The 13,992-nt window shown below is 41.6% G+C and overlaps 1 annotated feature.

Moving 5' to 3' along the window:
• Window positions 13,076-13,523: a transcriptional cis regulatory region, noted in NCBI's record as "candidate enhancer chr3.1018 targeted for multiplex CRISPR interference". NCBI's record gives its function as "positively regulates KAT2B gene expression with high confidence in K562 cells {active_cell/tissue: K562}" and the evidence as "EXISTENCE:mutant phenotype evidence [ECO:0000015][PMID:30612741]".

Genomic DNA, 13,992 nt, shown 5'->3' with positions numbered 1-13,992 from the left:
CTGAGCCTCCCAAGTAGCTGGGACTACAGACATGTGCCACCACACTCGGCTACTTTTTTTTTTTTTTCCAATTTTTATTAGAAACAAGGTCTCAATATGTTGCCCAGACTGGTCTCTCACTCCTGGCCTCAGCAGTCTTCCTGCCTGGGCCTCCCAAAGTGTTGGGATTACAGCCATGAGCCACTGCACTACCCAACCTTATTTATTTTAATTCTTAGTTATCCTTAGTAACAATCTTCTATTATTAATATGAATAGACCTAAGTATATTTGGCTAAGCCTTGCCCTTGTAAAGACAGAGGGGTTTTTTTATATTGCTTTCTGTTTTAAATATTAACGCATACTTATTTCACCAGTTTACTTACCATTTACAATGAAAGTACAATGTAAGTAAAAGAAATAAAGTCGGCTTTCTTCTGAATTCAGGCTAAATGACTTTCTACTTTTCCAAAGCAGCACATGAGAATTTATTGTTTCAAGCACCTTGAAAATTATATAAGGAAATCAAATTTCCAAAGAACCGACTTTGGTGTGACCTAGATTTTCTGGAATGATATGAACATCATAAATTGTATTCCTGTTAGTGCCAGATAATTGTTTAAAATAAACCTGAGGGATTCTAATTCCCTAAATATATAAAAACATTCATATATATAGTTTCACAAATTAGGGAAAAAATCTTTCTCAAAACAGGTTTTCTAATTTAGGGTCCCCTTATAAGGGAAGCCTTTAGTATAAAAGGCTTCAATTCCTTAATCCTAATTCCTGATTGGCTGAGCACACTGCCACTGACCTTTTAAGCCTAAAATCAAAGCACAGAGTAGTGTGTTCCAATGTATAAAATAGGTGCTATACATCAGCAAATGCTTTGGCTAAGAAAAACAAAGAAAAATGACGATTGTTCAGTATAGTAACATTATATCCCTTCAAAACCACAATAGTTTTATATTGTTATAAAATATTTCAAACATATTGAAAAATAAAGTAATATATTTGTATATTCACCAACCAGATTTTTAATGTTTTCATTTTCCATAAACATATATAATAAATATGTAATTAAAGACTGCTCTTTTATATCTCTCTTTATCTCATTTCCCAATTGCCTGCCCACCCCAGAAGTAAATATGTACGGAAGTGTATCTTTGGTCATGTTTTTTGATGTTTGCAAAATAAACCCATGGAGAAGGATCAAGTGAACTTTCACCGTTAAAGGCTAGATGAAGATATTTGAGGCTTTGTGGGACGCGGTCTCTCACAACTACTCAACTCTGCCAGGGTCTCATTTCTAGGAAAGGACATGTGTTTATCCTACATAGTTAAAAATCAAGCAAGATGTTAGTATAGAAGTACTCACCAAATGCTCCCATCTTTTTTGTTATTGTCTATAATTTTTTATCTACATTTTTATGACACAAACTGACTTCTGATTTTACCACAGTATATAAGTTTGCTAGGGCTTCCATAAGAAAGTACCACAGATTGGGTGGCTTAAACACAGAAATTTATTTCTTCAGAATTCTGGAGGCTAAAAACCCAAGATCAAGGTGACAGCAAGATTGGTTTCTTCTGAGGCCTCTCTCCTTGGCTTGTGGATGGTGGTTTTTCTCCGGTGTTTTCATGTGATCTTCTCTCTGTGTGTTTCTGTGTTCTCATCTCTTCTTCTAGGGATGCTAGTCATATGGGATTAGGGCCCACCTTAATGACCTCATTTAACCTTAACTACCTCTTTAAAGACAATCTCAAAATACAGTCACATTCTGAAGTACTAGGGATTAGAATTTCAATATATGAATTTTGGAGGGACACAATTCAGCCCACAACATGCAATCAATAGATCATTAACATTTCCAATGTATTTTAATGATTCCCATGCTCAATATACTCCTTCACTCTACATTGGCTTTTTTTCTTGCTAAACACATCCTTCAGCAGTTCTTTCCGGAAGGATCTAAACCACTACTTAGCTAGTCTTCTACTCAGGGAAGGCCTTAATCTGTAGTAGTTGAAACACCTGCCAACAAATGTGCATTATATTTGGCTAGGTTGAGTTTAATATTTTTATTAGCTTGTAAAGAAAAATGACATCTTCTACTCCAAATAGCATTTGACATCAATTTTTTAAAATAAGCTTTTATGCATTTTTTCACACTGAAAGAAAAACGAAAGAAACAAAAGGAGACAAAGCCCAATATATATGTGTCTTCAGCTGTTTTTGTCTTTCTGTTCTGGAATATTTATTCTATTTTTTCAGCAAGTTTTTTTTTTTTTTTAAGATAATATGAGCCTGGGCAATATAGCAAGACCTGGTCTCTACAAAAAATAAAAAAGCTACCTGAGAATGGGGGCACATACCTGTAGTCCCAGCTACTTGGGGGGTTAGGCAGGAAGATGGCTTGAACCCAAAAGTTCCAGGTTGCAGTGAGCTATCCTCCAGTGTGGGAGGATAGAGTGAAACCTTATTTCTAAAATAAGCAAATAAATAAAATAAAAGACAATATGCTTTAGTTAAGTACACTAATTTTAATTGTTCAGCTCAGTGAATTTTTATATATGGATACACTTGATTCCTCACCAGCCAGATCAATATATATAGAACATCCCCAGTGCTAGAAAGGCTTCCTGGCTGGGCACAGTGGCCCACACCTGTAATCCAGCACTTTGAGGGGCCAAGGCGGGCAGATCACTTGAGGTCAGGAGTTCGAGACCAGCATGGCCAAAATGGCAAAACCCGTCTCTACTGAAAACACAAAAAATTAGCTAGGCGTGGTGGCATGCGCCTATAATCCCAGCTACCTGGGAGGCTGAGGCAGGAGAATCGCTTGAAACCGGGAGGCATATGTTGCAGTGAGCCCATATCACGCCACTGCACTCCGGCATGGGCAACAGAGCAAGACTCCGTCTCAAAAAAAAAAAAAAAGACTTCCTTTTGCCCCCTTCTAATCAACATCCTAAGACAATTGCTATTCTGGCTTATATAGTCTTGCCTATTCATAAAATTCATATAAAAATAACACAGCATGGACTCTTGTTGTTGGGCTCCTTTTTATTTTATTTATTTATTTATTTATTTAGATGGAGTTTTGCTCTTGTTGCCCAGGCTGGAGTACAGCGGCGCAATCTCAGCTCTCTGCTACCTCCGCCTCCCAGGTTCAAGCAATTCTCCTGTCTCAGCCTCCCAAGTAGCTGGGATTATAGGTGCCTGCCACCATGCCTGGCTAATTTTTTTTTTTTTTTTTTTTTTTTTTTTGTATTTTTAGTAGACACAGGGTTTCACCATGTTGGCCAGGCTGGTCTTGAACTCCTCACCTCAGGTGATCCACCCACCTCGGCCTCCCAAAGTGCTGGGATTACAGGCGTGAGCCACCACTCCTGGCCTCCTTTTTAAAGATATTATGTTTATAAAGTCCATCCTGCTGTTCCATGTAGCCATGTCACTTTTTTTGTTTGTTTGCTTGTTTGTTAGATTTTGAAACAGCATCTCACACTGTTGCTTAGGTTGGATCGCCAAGATTGGAGTGCAGTAGTGCAATCATGGCTTACTCCACCCTTAATATCCAGGGCTCAACCAGTCCTCCCACCTCAACCTCCTAAGTAGCTGGGGCTACCTGGAGGCGCTACTACACCTGACTAATTTTTATTTTTTGTAGAGACAAGGTTTCACCATGTTGACCAGGCTAGTCTTGAACTCTTGGGCTCAAGTGATCTGCCTACATCGGCCTCCCAAAGTGCTCACCTTATAGGCATGAGCCACCATGCCTGGCCTCATGTCACTTTTTTAAATTGCCATATAGTATTCCACTGTATGACTCTACCACAATTTACCCATTTTCTTGTTGATAGACATTTCTAGTTTTTTACTATTATGAATAAAGTTGTTATGACTGTTCTTTTTTTTTTCTTATGAGACGGAGTTTCACTCTTGTTGCCCAGGCTGGAGTACAGTGGTGCAATCTCGGCTCACTGCAACCTCCGCCACCTGGGTTCAAGCAATTCTCCTGTCTCAGCCTCCCAATAGCTGGGATTATAGGCACCTGACACCACGTCTGGCTAATTTTTAGTAGAGATGGGGTTTCATCATATTGGTCAGGCTGGTCTCGAACTCCTGACCTCAGGTGATCCACCCGCCTCGGCCTCCCAAAATGCTGGGATTATAGGCATGAGCCACCACGCCCGGCCCACCATTATGACTATTCTTAAATGCCTTCTTGTAGTCATATGCACTCATTCCTCCAGGGCATATACCTAGGGGTATGGTTGCTGAATCATAGCAAAAATGTATTACAGCTTTAATAGATACTTCCAGTTTTGCTAAGTGATCATACCAGTTTAAACTCCTATCCCCAGTGTATAAAAATGACAGTGTTGGCTGGGCATGGTGGCTTACACCTGTAATCCCAACGCTTTGGGAGGCCGAGGCAGATGGATCACTTGAGGCCAGGAGTTTGATACCAGGCTGACCAATATGATGAAATCACATCTCTACTAAAAATACAAAAATTAGCTGGGCATGGTGGCTTGCACCTGTAATCCCGGCTACTCAGGTAGTCACTTGAGCCCAGGAGGCAGAGGTTGCAATGAACCAAGATTGCACCACTGCACTCCAGCCTGGGTGACAGAAGGAGACTGTCTCAAAAACAAAAAGAAAGTGGCCAGGCACAGTGGCTCGCTCCTGTAATCCCAGCACTTTGGGAGGCCGAGGCAGGCGGATCACTTGAGGTCAGGAGTTCAAGACCAGCCCAACCAACATGCTGAAACCCCGTCTCTACTAAAAATACAAAAATTAGCCGGGCGCGGTGGCAGGCGCCTGTAATCTTAGCTACTCAGGAGGCTGAGGCAGGAGAATTGCTTCAACCCTGGAGGCGGAGGTTGCAGTGAGCTGAGATTGCACCACTGCACTCCAGCCTGGGTGACAGAGCAAGACTCTGTCTCAAAAAAAAAAAAAAAAAAAAAAAAAAAGAGACAGAGAGAGAAAGGAAGAAAGAAAGTAAGACTGGGCAAATCCTCAAATCAATTTTGGCATTACCAATCTCTTTAGTTTTTGCCATTTTGGTGATATCTATTTGTGGCTAATACATTATAATGTTGAATGCTTTTTAAAACTTCATTTGCTTATTGGCATTTTGAATACCTCTTTTGTGAACTAAATGCCTGTTCAGATCTTTTCCCCAATTTAAAATTGGTTGTCTGTCTTTTTGTGACACTATAGGCACAAGCTACCGTACCTGGCTGCTTTTTCACTCTGTAAATAGTGTCCTTTAATTAACAGAAGCCCTTACTTTTATTAAAGCCTGATTTATCAATACAATTACCATTTCATAGTAGTGCTTTTGTGTCTTGTTTAAAAACGCTGTTCCTAAGCCATGGTTGTGGAGATATTCTCTTATGTGTTATTTGAGTTTTATTGCTCGCATCTTTTATATTTAGGGCCCTGTTGCTTCTCATCTAATTACTGAAGATAGCATGAGGCAACAGTCACCATATCTTAATAATTTTCTCTTTATATTTTATTTTTTATCTATCAGTGTTAAATATTTGGAGTAAAGGGAGTGCCTTATAGCACGACTCTGACCCCATAGCTCAAATTTTTTTTCTTTCTTTTTTTTTCTTTTCTTTTTTTTTTTTTTGAGACAGAGTTCTGCTCTGTCACCCAGACTAGAGTGCAGTGAGTGTTCTTGGCTCACTGCAACCTCTGCTTCCGGGGTTCAAGTGGTTCTCCAGCCTCAGCCTCCCAAGTAGCTGGGATTATAGGTGCCTACCACCATGACTGGGTAATTTTTGTATTTTTAGTAGAGACAGGGTTTCGCCATCTTGGCCAGGCTGGTCTTGAACTCCTGACCTGAGGTAATCCACCCTCCTGGGCCTCCCAAAGTGCTGGGATTATAGGCATGAGCCATGGCTCCCAGCCAGTATAGCTCAGTTTTTACTGTAAGTTCACTGTAGTGCTTTTAAAGAATATTATTTGTATCCCTTTAATGATTGTTCTTTAACTCTTATTTTTTTTCTTTTGAGACAGTGTCTCACTCAGTCACCCAAGCTGGAGTGCTGTGGCACTATTTTGGCTCACTGCAACCTCTGCCTCCTGGGTTTAAGCAATTCTCCTGCCTCAGCCTCCCGAGTAGCTGGGACTACAGGCGCCTGCCATCATGCCCGGCTAATTTTTGTATTTTTAGTAGAGACGAGAGTTCACCATGATGGCCAGGCTGGTCTCGAACTCCTGACCTCAAGTGATCCACACTCCTGGGCCTCGCAAAGTGCTGGGATTACAGGCATGAGCCACCGCGCCCAGTCTTTTAACTCTATTTTGTTTGTGTGTTTGTTTGTTTGTTTGTTTGAGACACAGTCTCACTCTGTTGCCCAGGCTGGAGTGCAGCAGCAGGATCTCAGCTCACTGCAAACTCCACCTTCAGGGTTCAAGCGATTCTCCTGCCTCAGCCCCTTGAGTAGCTGGGATTACAGGTGTGTGCCACCATGCCCGCCTAATTTTTTTGTATTTTTGGTAGAGACAAGATTTCATCATGTTGGCCAAGCTGGTCTCAAACTCCTGATTTCAAATGATCCGCCCGTCTCGGCCTCCCAAAGTGCTGGGATTACAGGCCTGAGCCACCCACCGCTCCCAGCCTTAACTCTTTTTTTAAAGCGGGATCACTCTTAAACTCAGGCAAGAGGAATCCTATGCCGGGTCGCATAGTCTAGAGAGCTCCTCATGTCATAAACACTAAAAAAAAAAAAGATGTGTGAAGCCGGGTGTGGAGGCTCACGCCTATAATCCCAGCAATTTAGGAGGCCTAGGCTGGTGGATCACTGGAGTTCAAGAGTTCCAGACCAGCCTGACCAACATGGCAAAACCCTGCCTCTACTAAAAATACAAAAAAAAATAGCCGGGCGTGGTGGCGGGCACCCTGTAATCCAGCTAGTCAAGGGGCTGAAGCAGGAGAATCCCTTGAGCCCGAGAGGCGGAGGTTGCAGTGAGCTGAGATTGTGCCGGGGCGACGGAGCGAGACTCCGTCTCAAAAAAAAAGGTGTGTGAGTTGTGAGATGGGGGTGGTGGTGTTAGTGTCAGTTGGTATGAGTTCTAGACAGGGCGACCTTGTAAACCTAGACATTCACCCTTCTGCCTAACAATCTGCAAGCCCCGGGCAGACGCACTTCCAGCATATTCCCTTGCCCTAGATCCTCAAAACAAAAGGCACCCGCATTGGAATGCTGAGAAGTTTTTTGGTGAAAGAGGCATGGCTTTGGAGTGCAGAAAGAATTTGAGTGGCAGGAGTACTTAGGTAAGAGAAAAGACAAATTAATTAACTTGTCAAATCCTCCTTCTTAGCATGAATGCAAAAGATTCTTGCATAACAAAGTATTGTTTCCCAGAGTGCCAAGCAGCCGATTTTTTTGCTTCTCTTTGTATTCCAATTCATGGTTCTGAAGATCCTCATGAATTAGCGCAGTGTTCACTAACGTGCACAGAGTGGCTGAGAAACATTTCGTAGTATAAATTCATTTTACCCTCACATTTGTATATATAGAGATCTAAATATTACATATGGGAAGCATGACATGGATTCTTTAGCAAATACGTGAACATTGAATGCAAAGACTAAACATTCTTAGAAAACAGCCTTCATGGTGGGGCAGGGTGGCTCATGCCTGTAATCCCAGCACTTTGGGAGGCTGAGGCGGACGAATGACCTGAGGTCGGGAGTTTGAGACCAGCCTGACTAACATGGAGAAACCCTCTCTCTACTAAAAATACAAAAAAAATTAGCCGGGTGTGGTGGCGCATGCCTGTAATCCCAGCTACTTGGGAGGCTGAGGCAGGAGAATCGCTTGAACCCGGGAGGCAGAGGTTGCCGTGAGCCGAAATCGTCCCACTGCACTCCAGCCTGGGCGACAAGAGCGGAACTCCTTCTCAAAAACAAAACAAAAAAAACCTTCATTCAAATTTGTAAAAAGCTAATAATATGTTCAGCTTTATTTAAAGATCTTTGACTAAAAATCTGAGAGTGACTAACCACTTCATTTGCCATTGAGTTTTGATAGATCATTTTGAATATTTTAAAAGAAAGAGAACTTTATGTGAAAAATAATTTTTAGATTTTTTTACATTTACTGTCATTCATATTTTCTGGATAAAAATACATTTAAAATTTGAACAGTTTGGCTGGGCATGGGGGCTCATGCCTGTAATCCCAGCACTTTGGGAGGCCAAGGCGGGCGTATTACTTGAGGTCAGGAGTTCGAGACCAGCCTGACCAACATGGTGAAACTCTGTCTCTAATAAAAATACAAAAATTAGCTGGGCTTGATGGCCTGTGCCTGTAATCCCAACTACTTGGGAGGCTGAGGCAGGAGAATTGCTTGAACCTGGGAGGTGGAGGTTGCAGTGAGCCAAGATCATGCCACTGAACTCAGCCTGGGCGACAGAGTGAGACTCTGTCTCAAAAAAAAAAAAAAAAAATGAACAGTTTAACTACAATTACATTTTAAACCATGCACATGTAATAACATTTTAGCCATGCACATATATTAATTTGAATTAAAAATTAAACAAAAAAGGAGGAAAAGAAGGTTGATAAGAAAAAAATAAGTGCTTAAAACAGTATTTGGCAAACGGTGCATTTTCAGTAAGTATTAGGAGTCGCCTTCTGCCACCCCTGCTTACTCTCTGTTAGTTTTAACCTGACATCAGATTAAACATCATTTCCCTTCCTCCTTCTTTTCCCACTCTCCACCCTCCAAATACAAACATACATATCCTGTTTGGAATTTGGTTGCTTTACGGAAACAAATCTAAAATTTGGAAGATAACAGAGCCAGAAGATTTGACAGGAGACATTAGAGAAACCTAGTTAAGGTCAAATGGAAAAATTAGAAGTTCAGTTGTTTAAAATGAACAACACTTTTTAGCACAATTCTGACATATAGCATTTGCCAGGCACTTCTTGGCCTAGTGAGAAGTAATGGGCACTGAGAAATATGGGTGGGACCAAAGGAAATTTAACTCATGCCAACAATTTGACTTACAGGTTGGGTTGCTAGCCCTCAGCAAAACCAAATGAAAGCTTCAGGAAGTTAGCACTACTAGCCACATCCGTACATCTTAAAACACACACCTGGAATGTTTTAACAGCTGGAATCCAATTTCTGAGGTGATTCATGAGAAAGTCAAATTTGATATAGCGTCCACCAATAATAAAACAACAAGAGTTGGCCAGGCGCGGTGGCTCACATCTGTAATCTCAGCACTTTGAGAGGTTGAGGTGGGTGGATCACCTGAGGTCAGGAGTTCGAGACTGGCCTGGCCAACATGGTGAAACTCCGTCTCTACTAAAAATACACAAATTAGCTGGGCATGTTGGTGGGCATCTGTAATCCCAGCTACTCGGGAGGCTGAGGCGGGAGAATTGCTTGAACCCGGGAGGCGGACATTGCAGTGAGCCGAGATTGCACCACTGCACCACAGCCTAGGCAACAGAGCGAGACTCTGTCTCAAAAAAAAAAAAGAAGAGCTAACGGTTTTGGAGAACCTACTGCATGTTAGGTACTGTGATAACCCCTTTTTGCAAAACACGCTATGTAATCCTACCAGGATAGAAAAAGCTGTTCTCATTTTACAGATGAGGAACCTGAGGCTCAGAGAAGTTAGATTATTTTCACCAGAGTCTATTCTGCACTTAACACTTTGGTTTTCAGCCAATAACAATTGTGGCTACCATCTATTTACTTTTTATTTATTTAATTAATTAATTTTTTGAGACAAAGCTTTGCTTTGTCACTCAGGCTGGAATGCAGTGGCACAATTACAGCTCACTGCAGTCTCGACTTCCCCGGCTCAAGTGATCCTCCCACTTAAGCTGCCCGAGTGGCTTAGACTACAGGCATGCACCACCATGCCCTGCTAATTTTTTTTTTTTTTTTTTTGAGACACAGTCTCACTCTGTTGCCCAGGCTGGAGTGCAGTGGTGTGATCTCAGCTCACTGCTACCTCCACCTCCTGGGTTCAAGCGATTCTCCTGCCTCCGCCCTCGTGTAGCTGGGATTACAGGTGCTCCACTATGCCCGGCTAACTTTTTTGGTACTTTTAGTAGAGACAGGGTTTCACCATGTAGGCCAGGCTGGCCTCGAACTCCTGACCTCAAATGATCCACCCACCTTGGTCTCCCAAAGTTTTTGGATTACAGGTATGAGCCACTGCACCCAGCCCCAGCTAATTTTTTAAAAAAAATTTTGTATAGACAGGGGTCTCACTATGTTGCTCAGGCTGATCTTAAACTTCTGGGCTCAAGCAGTCCTCCCACCTTAGCCTTCCAAAGTGCTGAGATTACAGGCGTGCCCAACTTTTTAAATTTAAATTTTTTTTTTTGTTTTTTCATTCACATGATGAGTATTGCAAAATGGCTAACATTTATTGAGAGCCAACTAAGGGCCTGAACATGGGTTGTAACTAATTTAATCTTCACAACAACCCTGTATTTGGAAGCATTTAGTGGTTTTATTTGCAATAAAGCACCTTCAGCTGCAGCACCTACAATTCTATGTGATAGAAACAAATGTAGTAATAGATGCAGGGTCTCTCCCCCATCTCCTGATTTGAAAGCAGAGGGGAAAATGGGCTCTCTTCTGTCACCCTGCTGAGAATCCTATGCTCTGTGCAGAAGAGGGTATTTTCTATTCCAGAGCAGCACTCTTCAATACATTTTCCTGTGATAAAGGGAATGTTCTCTATTTGCATTATTCAATATGGTAGCTACTGGCCATGTGTGAGTGTGCAAAATGTGGTTGATAAGACTGATAAGCTAAAATTCTAAATAGTTTGAATTTAAATAGCCACCTATTATGGGGCTAATAGCTACCATGTTGGAGAGCACAGTTCTAAGGGAGATGACTGCTTGGTGGCCAAATTCTCAGCAGAGTCCACTCTGGCTTCTCTTACCTCTTCTATTGGCCAGCTTCTGAGGCACGTATCTTCAGACTAAGACCTCACTGCTAAGAACTGAGGATGAGGGAAAAATATGGGAATCTTTCTTACTCCCTCTATTAAAAACTAAATATTTAAGAGCTCAAATGATTACTCTATTTGTTTATTAATTTATTTAATAAATATTTATGAAACTTTTACTATATAGCAGGCATATTTACTACGAATCTATGAATTGGCTCTGGGATTAAAAAGGCAAGCAGGATGGGAATGAAGAGACAGACATTGCTTAAATAATCAAACAAATACACCATTACAAACTTGAATCAGCCGGGTATGGTGGCTCATGCCTGTAATCCCAGCACTTTGGGAGGCTGAGGCAGCAAATCACTTGAGATCGGGAGTTCAGACCAGCCTGACCAACATGAAGAAACCCCGTCTCTACTAAAAATACAAAATTAGCTGGACGTGGTGGCTCATGCCTGTAATCCCAGCTACTCGGGAGGCTGAGGCGGGAGAATCACTTGAACCTGGGAAGTGGAGGTTGTGGTGAGCCAAGATCGAGCCATTGCACTCCAGCCTGGGCAACAAGAGCAAAACTCTGTCTCAAAAAAAAAAAAAAAAAGTCTAGACTCGGTGGCTAACACCTGTAATCCCAGCACTTTGGGAGACCGAGGTGAGTGGATCACCTGAGGTCAGAAGTTCGAGACCAGCCTGACCAACATGGAGAAACCCCGTCTCTACTAAAAATACAAAATTAGCCAGGCGTGGTGGCACGTGCCTGTAATCCCAGCTACTCAGGAGGCTAAGGCAGGAGAATCGCTTAAACCTGGGAGGTGGAGGTTGCAGTGAGCTGAGATCGTGCCATTGCACTCTGGCCTGGGCAACAGAGCAAGACTCCGTCTCACATAAGTAAGTAAGTAAGTAAGTAAGTAAGTAAATAAATAAATAAATAAATAAATAAATAAATAAATAAATAAAATAAAATAAAAAACTTGAATCAATGCAAAGCATAAGGAGTTCTGGAGGCATTTGACAAAGTGTGGAGGATTCCTGTGAAGCATCAGGAAACATTTTTCTGATGATGCTAAAGTTCAGCTTGTGGAAATGAGGTTTTAATTGAGGAATGAGTTAGAATTAACTGAGTGCCAGTGGAGAGAAAAGCCTTTGAGCAGAGAGAATAGCATGTACAGGCCTGAGGTGGGCAGAGTGTGGATTATGTTTGAGGAATGTTAATGAATGGGAAAGTGGGGAGAGATTAGGCTGAAGAGTCAGGCTTTGGCCAGGCCCTACAGAACCTTTCTCATCATATTAGGACTTTTGACCTTTATTCCAGAAACAGTGGAAAGCTACTGAAAGGTTTTAAGCAGAAGAGTGATATGGTTAGAAAATAAACTTAAAAAAAAAAAAAAAAGCAAAACTTGGCTTTTACAAGGGCCTCATTGTTCCCTGTTCCTTCCTTCCTTCCTCCTTCAGCAAGCAGGCAGGTGACTTCCCCCAGACACAGGGCTGCAGCTGGCCCCAGAAGCAGTTCCTCAGAACAGATTAGAAGTGCTTGGTCCTGGGCCCAGGGGATGAATGGAGCTAAGCTATGTTCTCTCCTCTAATACTCTGTGTGTTCTCTCTGTGTGTTTCTGCCATTAAATAAATACTGGGGGTATTTATAAGAACTGTCAGCAAACCACCCACTCCTTCTCTGCCACAGGCCCAGAAGCCCTCAAACAGTAACAGCCTGTACCAGAATCTCCACGATATCCAAAGAGACAGCTCCGAAAGGAATACTAAATATAACTTTCTTCCACACAGGCTGGTGCCTGCTGCCTTGACTTTTACAATCATAGTTGTGGAACATGTAAGAAACTTGAATTCAACGGGCAGTTTTAAGCCAAACAAGGGCTGCCTACTGGAGAGATTGGCTGTGAATATTTTCTAATCTGACCACCTTCCCATTAAGCCATATGTATTTGATTGTCCTGAAGTTGGGAGGATGACAAGCCAAAGAATTTATTCCAGTGGGAGTAAGGCAAGAATGGAAGAGGGAGAACCAGATATTAAGATTTGTGAATGTATTTGAAGTTCAACGCTTTCAAATAATGTGAAAGAAACATCTAAGCAAATGTATCACTGATTGTCCTCTTCTTCCAAAATGAATTGATTTTTACAGCCACTTTGGAAGACAGTTTGGCAGTTTCTGACAAACTGTTTGCAGGTCAACACACCTGGGCTCTGCCATTTATTGCAGCAAAGTTAACTCACTTTCTAGAGCTTTAGGGTCCTTGTCTGTAAAGTAGATTATTAGTGCCTGTGTGCAGGGTTGTTGTATGGTTGAGAGACAATGTGGGTGGAATGCTTAGAAAGAGCCCAGCACATGGTCAGCACTGATAATGTTATTATCTAGTAGTGCATCTGTGTGTCTGTCTTCCCCATGACAGGCACTGAGCTCATCAAGCACAGAGACCTGCTGTTGGCCTTTATGTCTAGTGCCTACCCCTGCAGGTGCTCAATATATAAAATAATTAATTGAAATAACCATCTTAAAATAAAGGAATTCTTCTCTTGCATTGTTATCTTTCCCAAGATAGTGGTCTATCTTCTAATTTCCTACAACATTCACTGTTTATTTGTATGTGTTTCAGATATGAATTAGGGGGAAAAAATTACTAGATGCACTTCCAGAAAGATATTTTCTCAGAATGCCCTGCTTACACACACACACACCACACTTTAATTAATACATTTTACTTTTGAGTAGTTTTAGGTTTACAAAAAAATTGAGCAGAAAGTACAGACACTTCCAATATACACTTCACTGCCTCCCACCACTTCTTTCCCTTATTATTAACATCTTGCATTAGCGTGGTACATTTGTTATAGTTGATGAGCCAATATTGATATATCATTATAAACTAAAGTCCATAGTTGACATTAAAGTTCACTTTTTGTGTTGTACATTCTATAGGTTTTGACAAATGTGTCACAAGTATTCACCATTACATTATCATACAGAATAGTTTTACAGCCCTAAAAATCTCCTGTTCTCCACCTATTCATCCCTTCTTCTCCTGAACCCCTGGAAAC

This window comes from Homo sapiens, chromosome 3, assembly GCF_000001405.40.
Source record: "Homo sapiens chromosome 3, GRCh38.p14 Primary Assembly".
Taxonomy (NCBI): Eukaryota; Metazoa; Chordata; class Mammalia; order Primates; family Hominidae; genus Homo; species Homo sapiens.
This window is presented reverse-complemented; position numbering and strand designations above follow the sequence as displayed.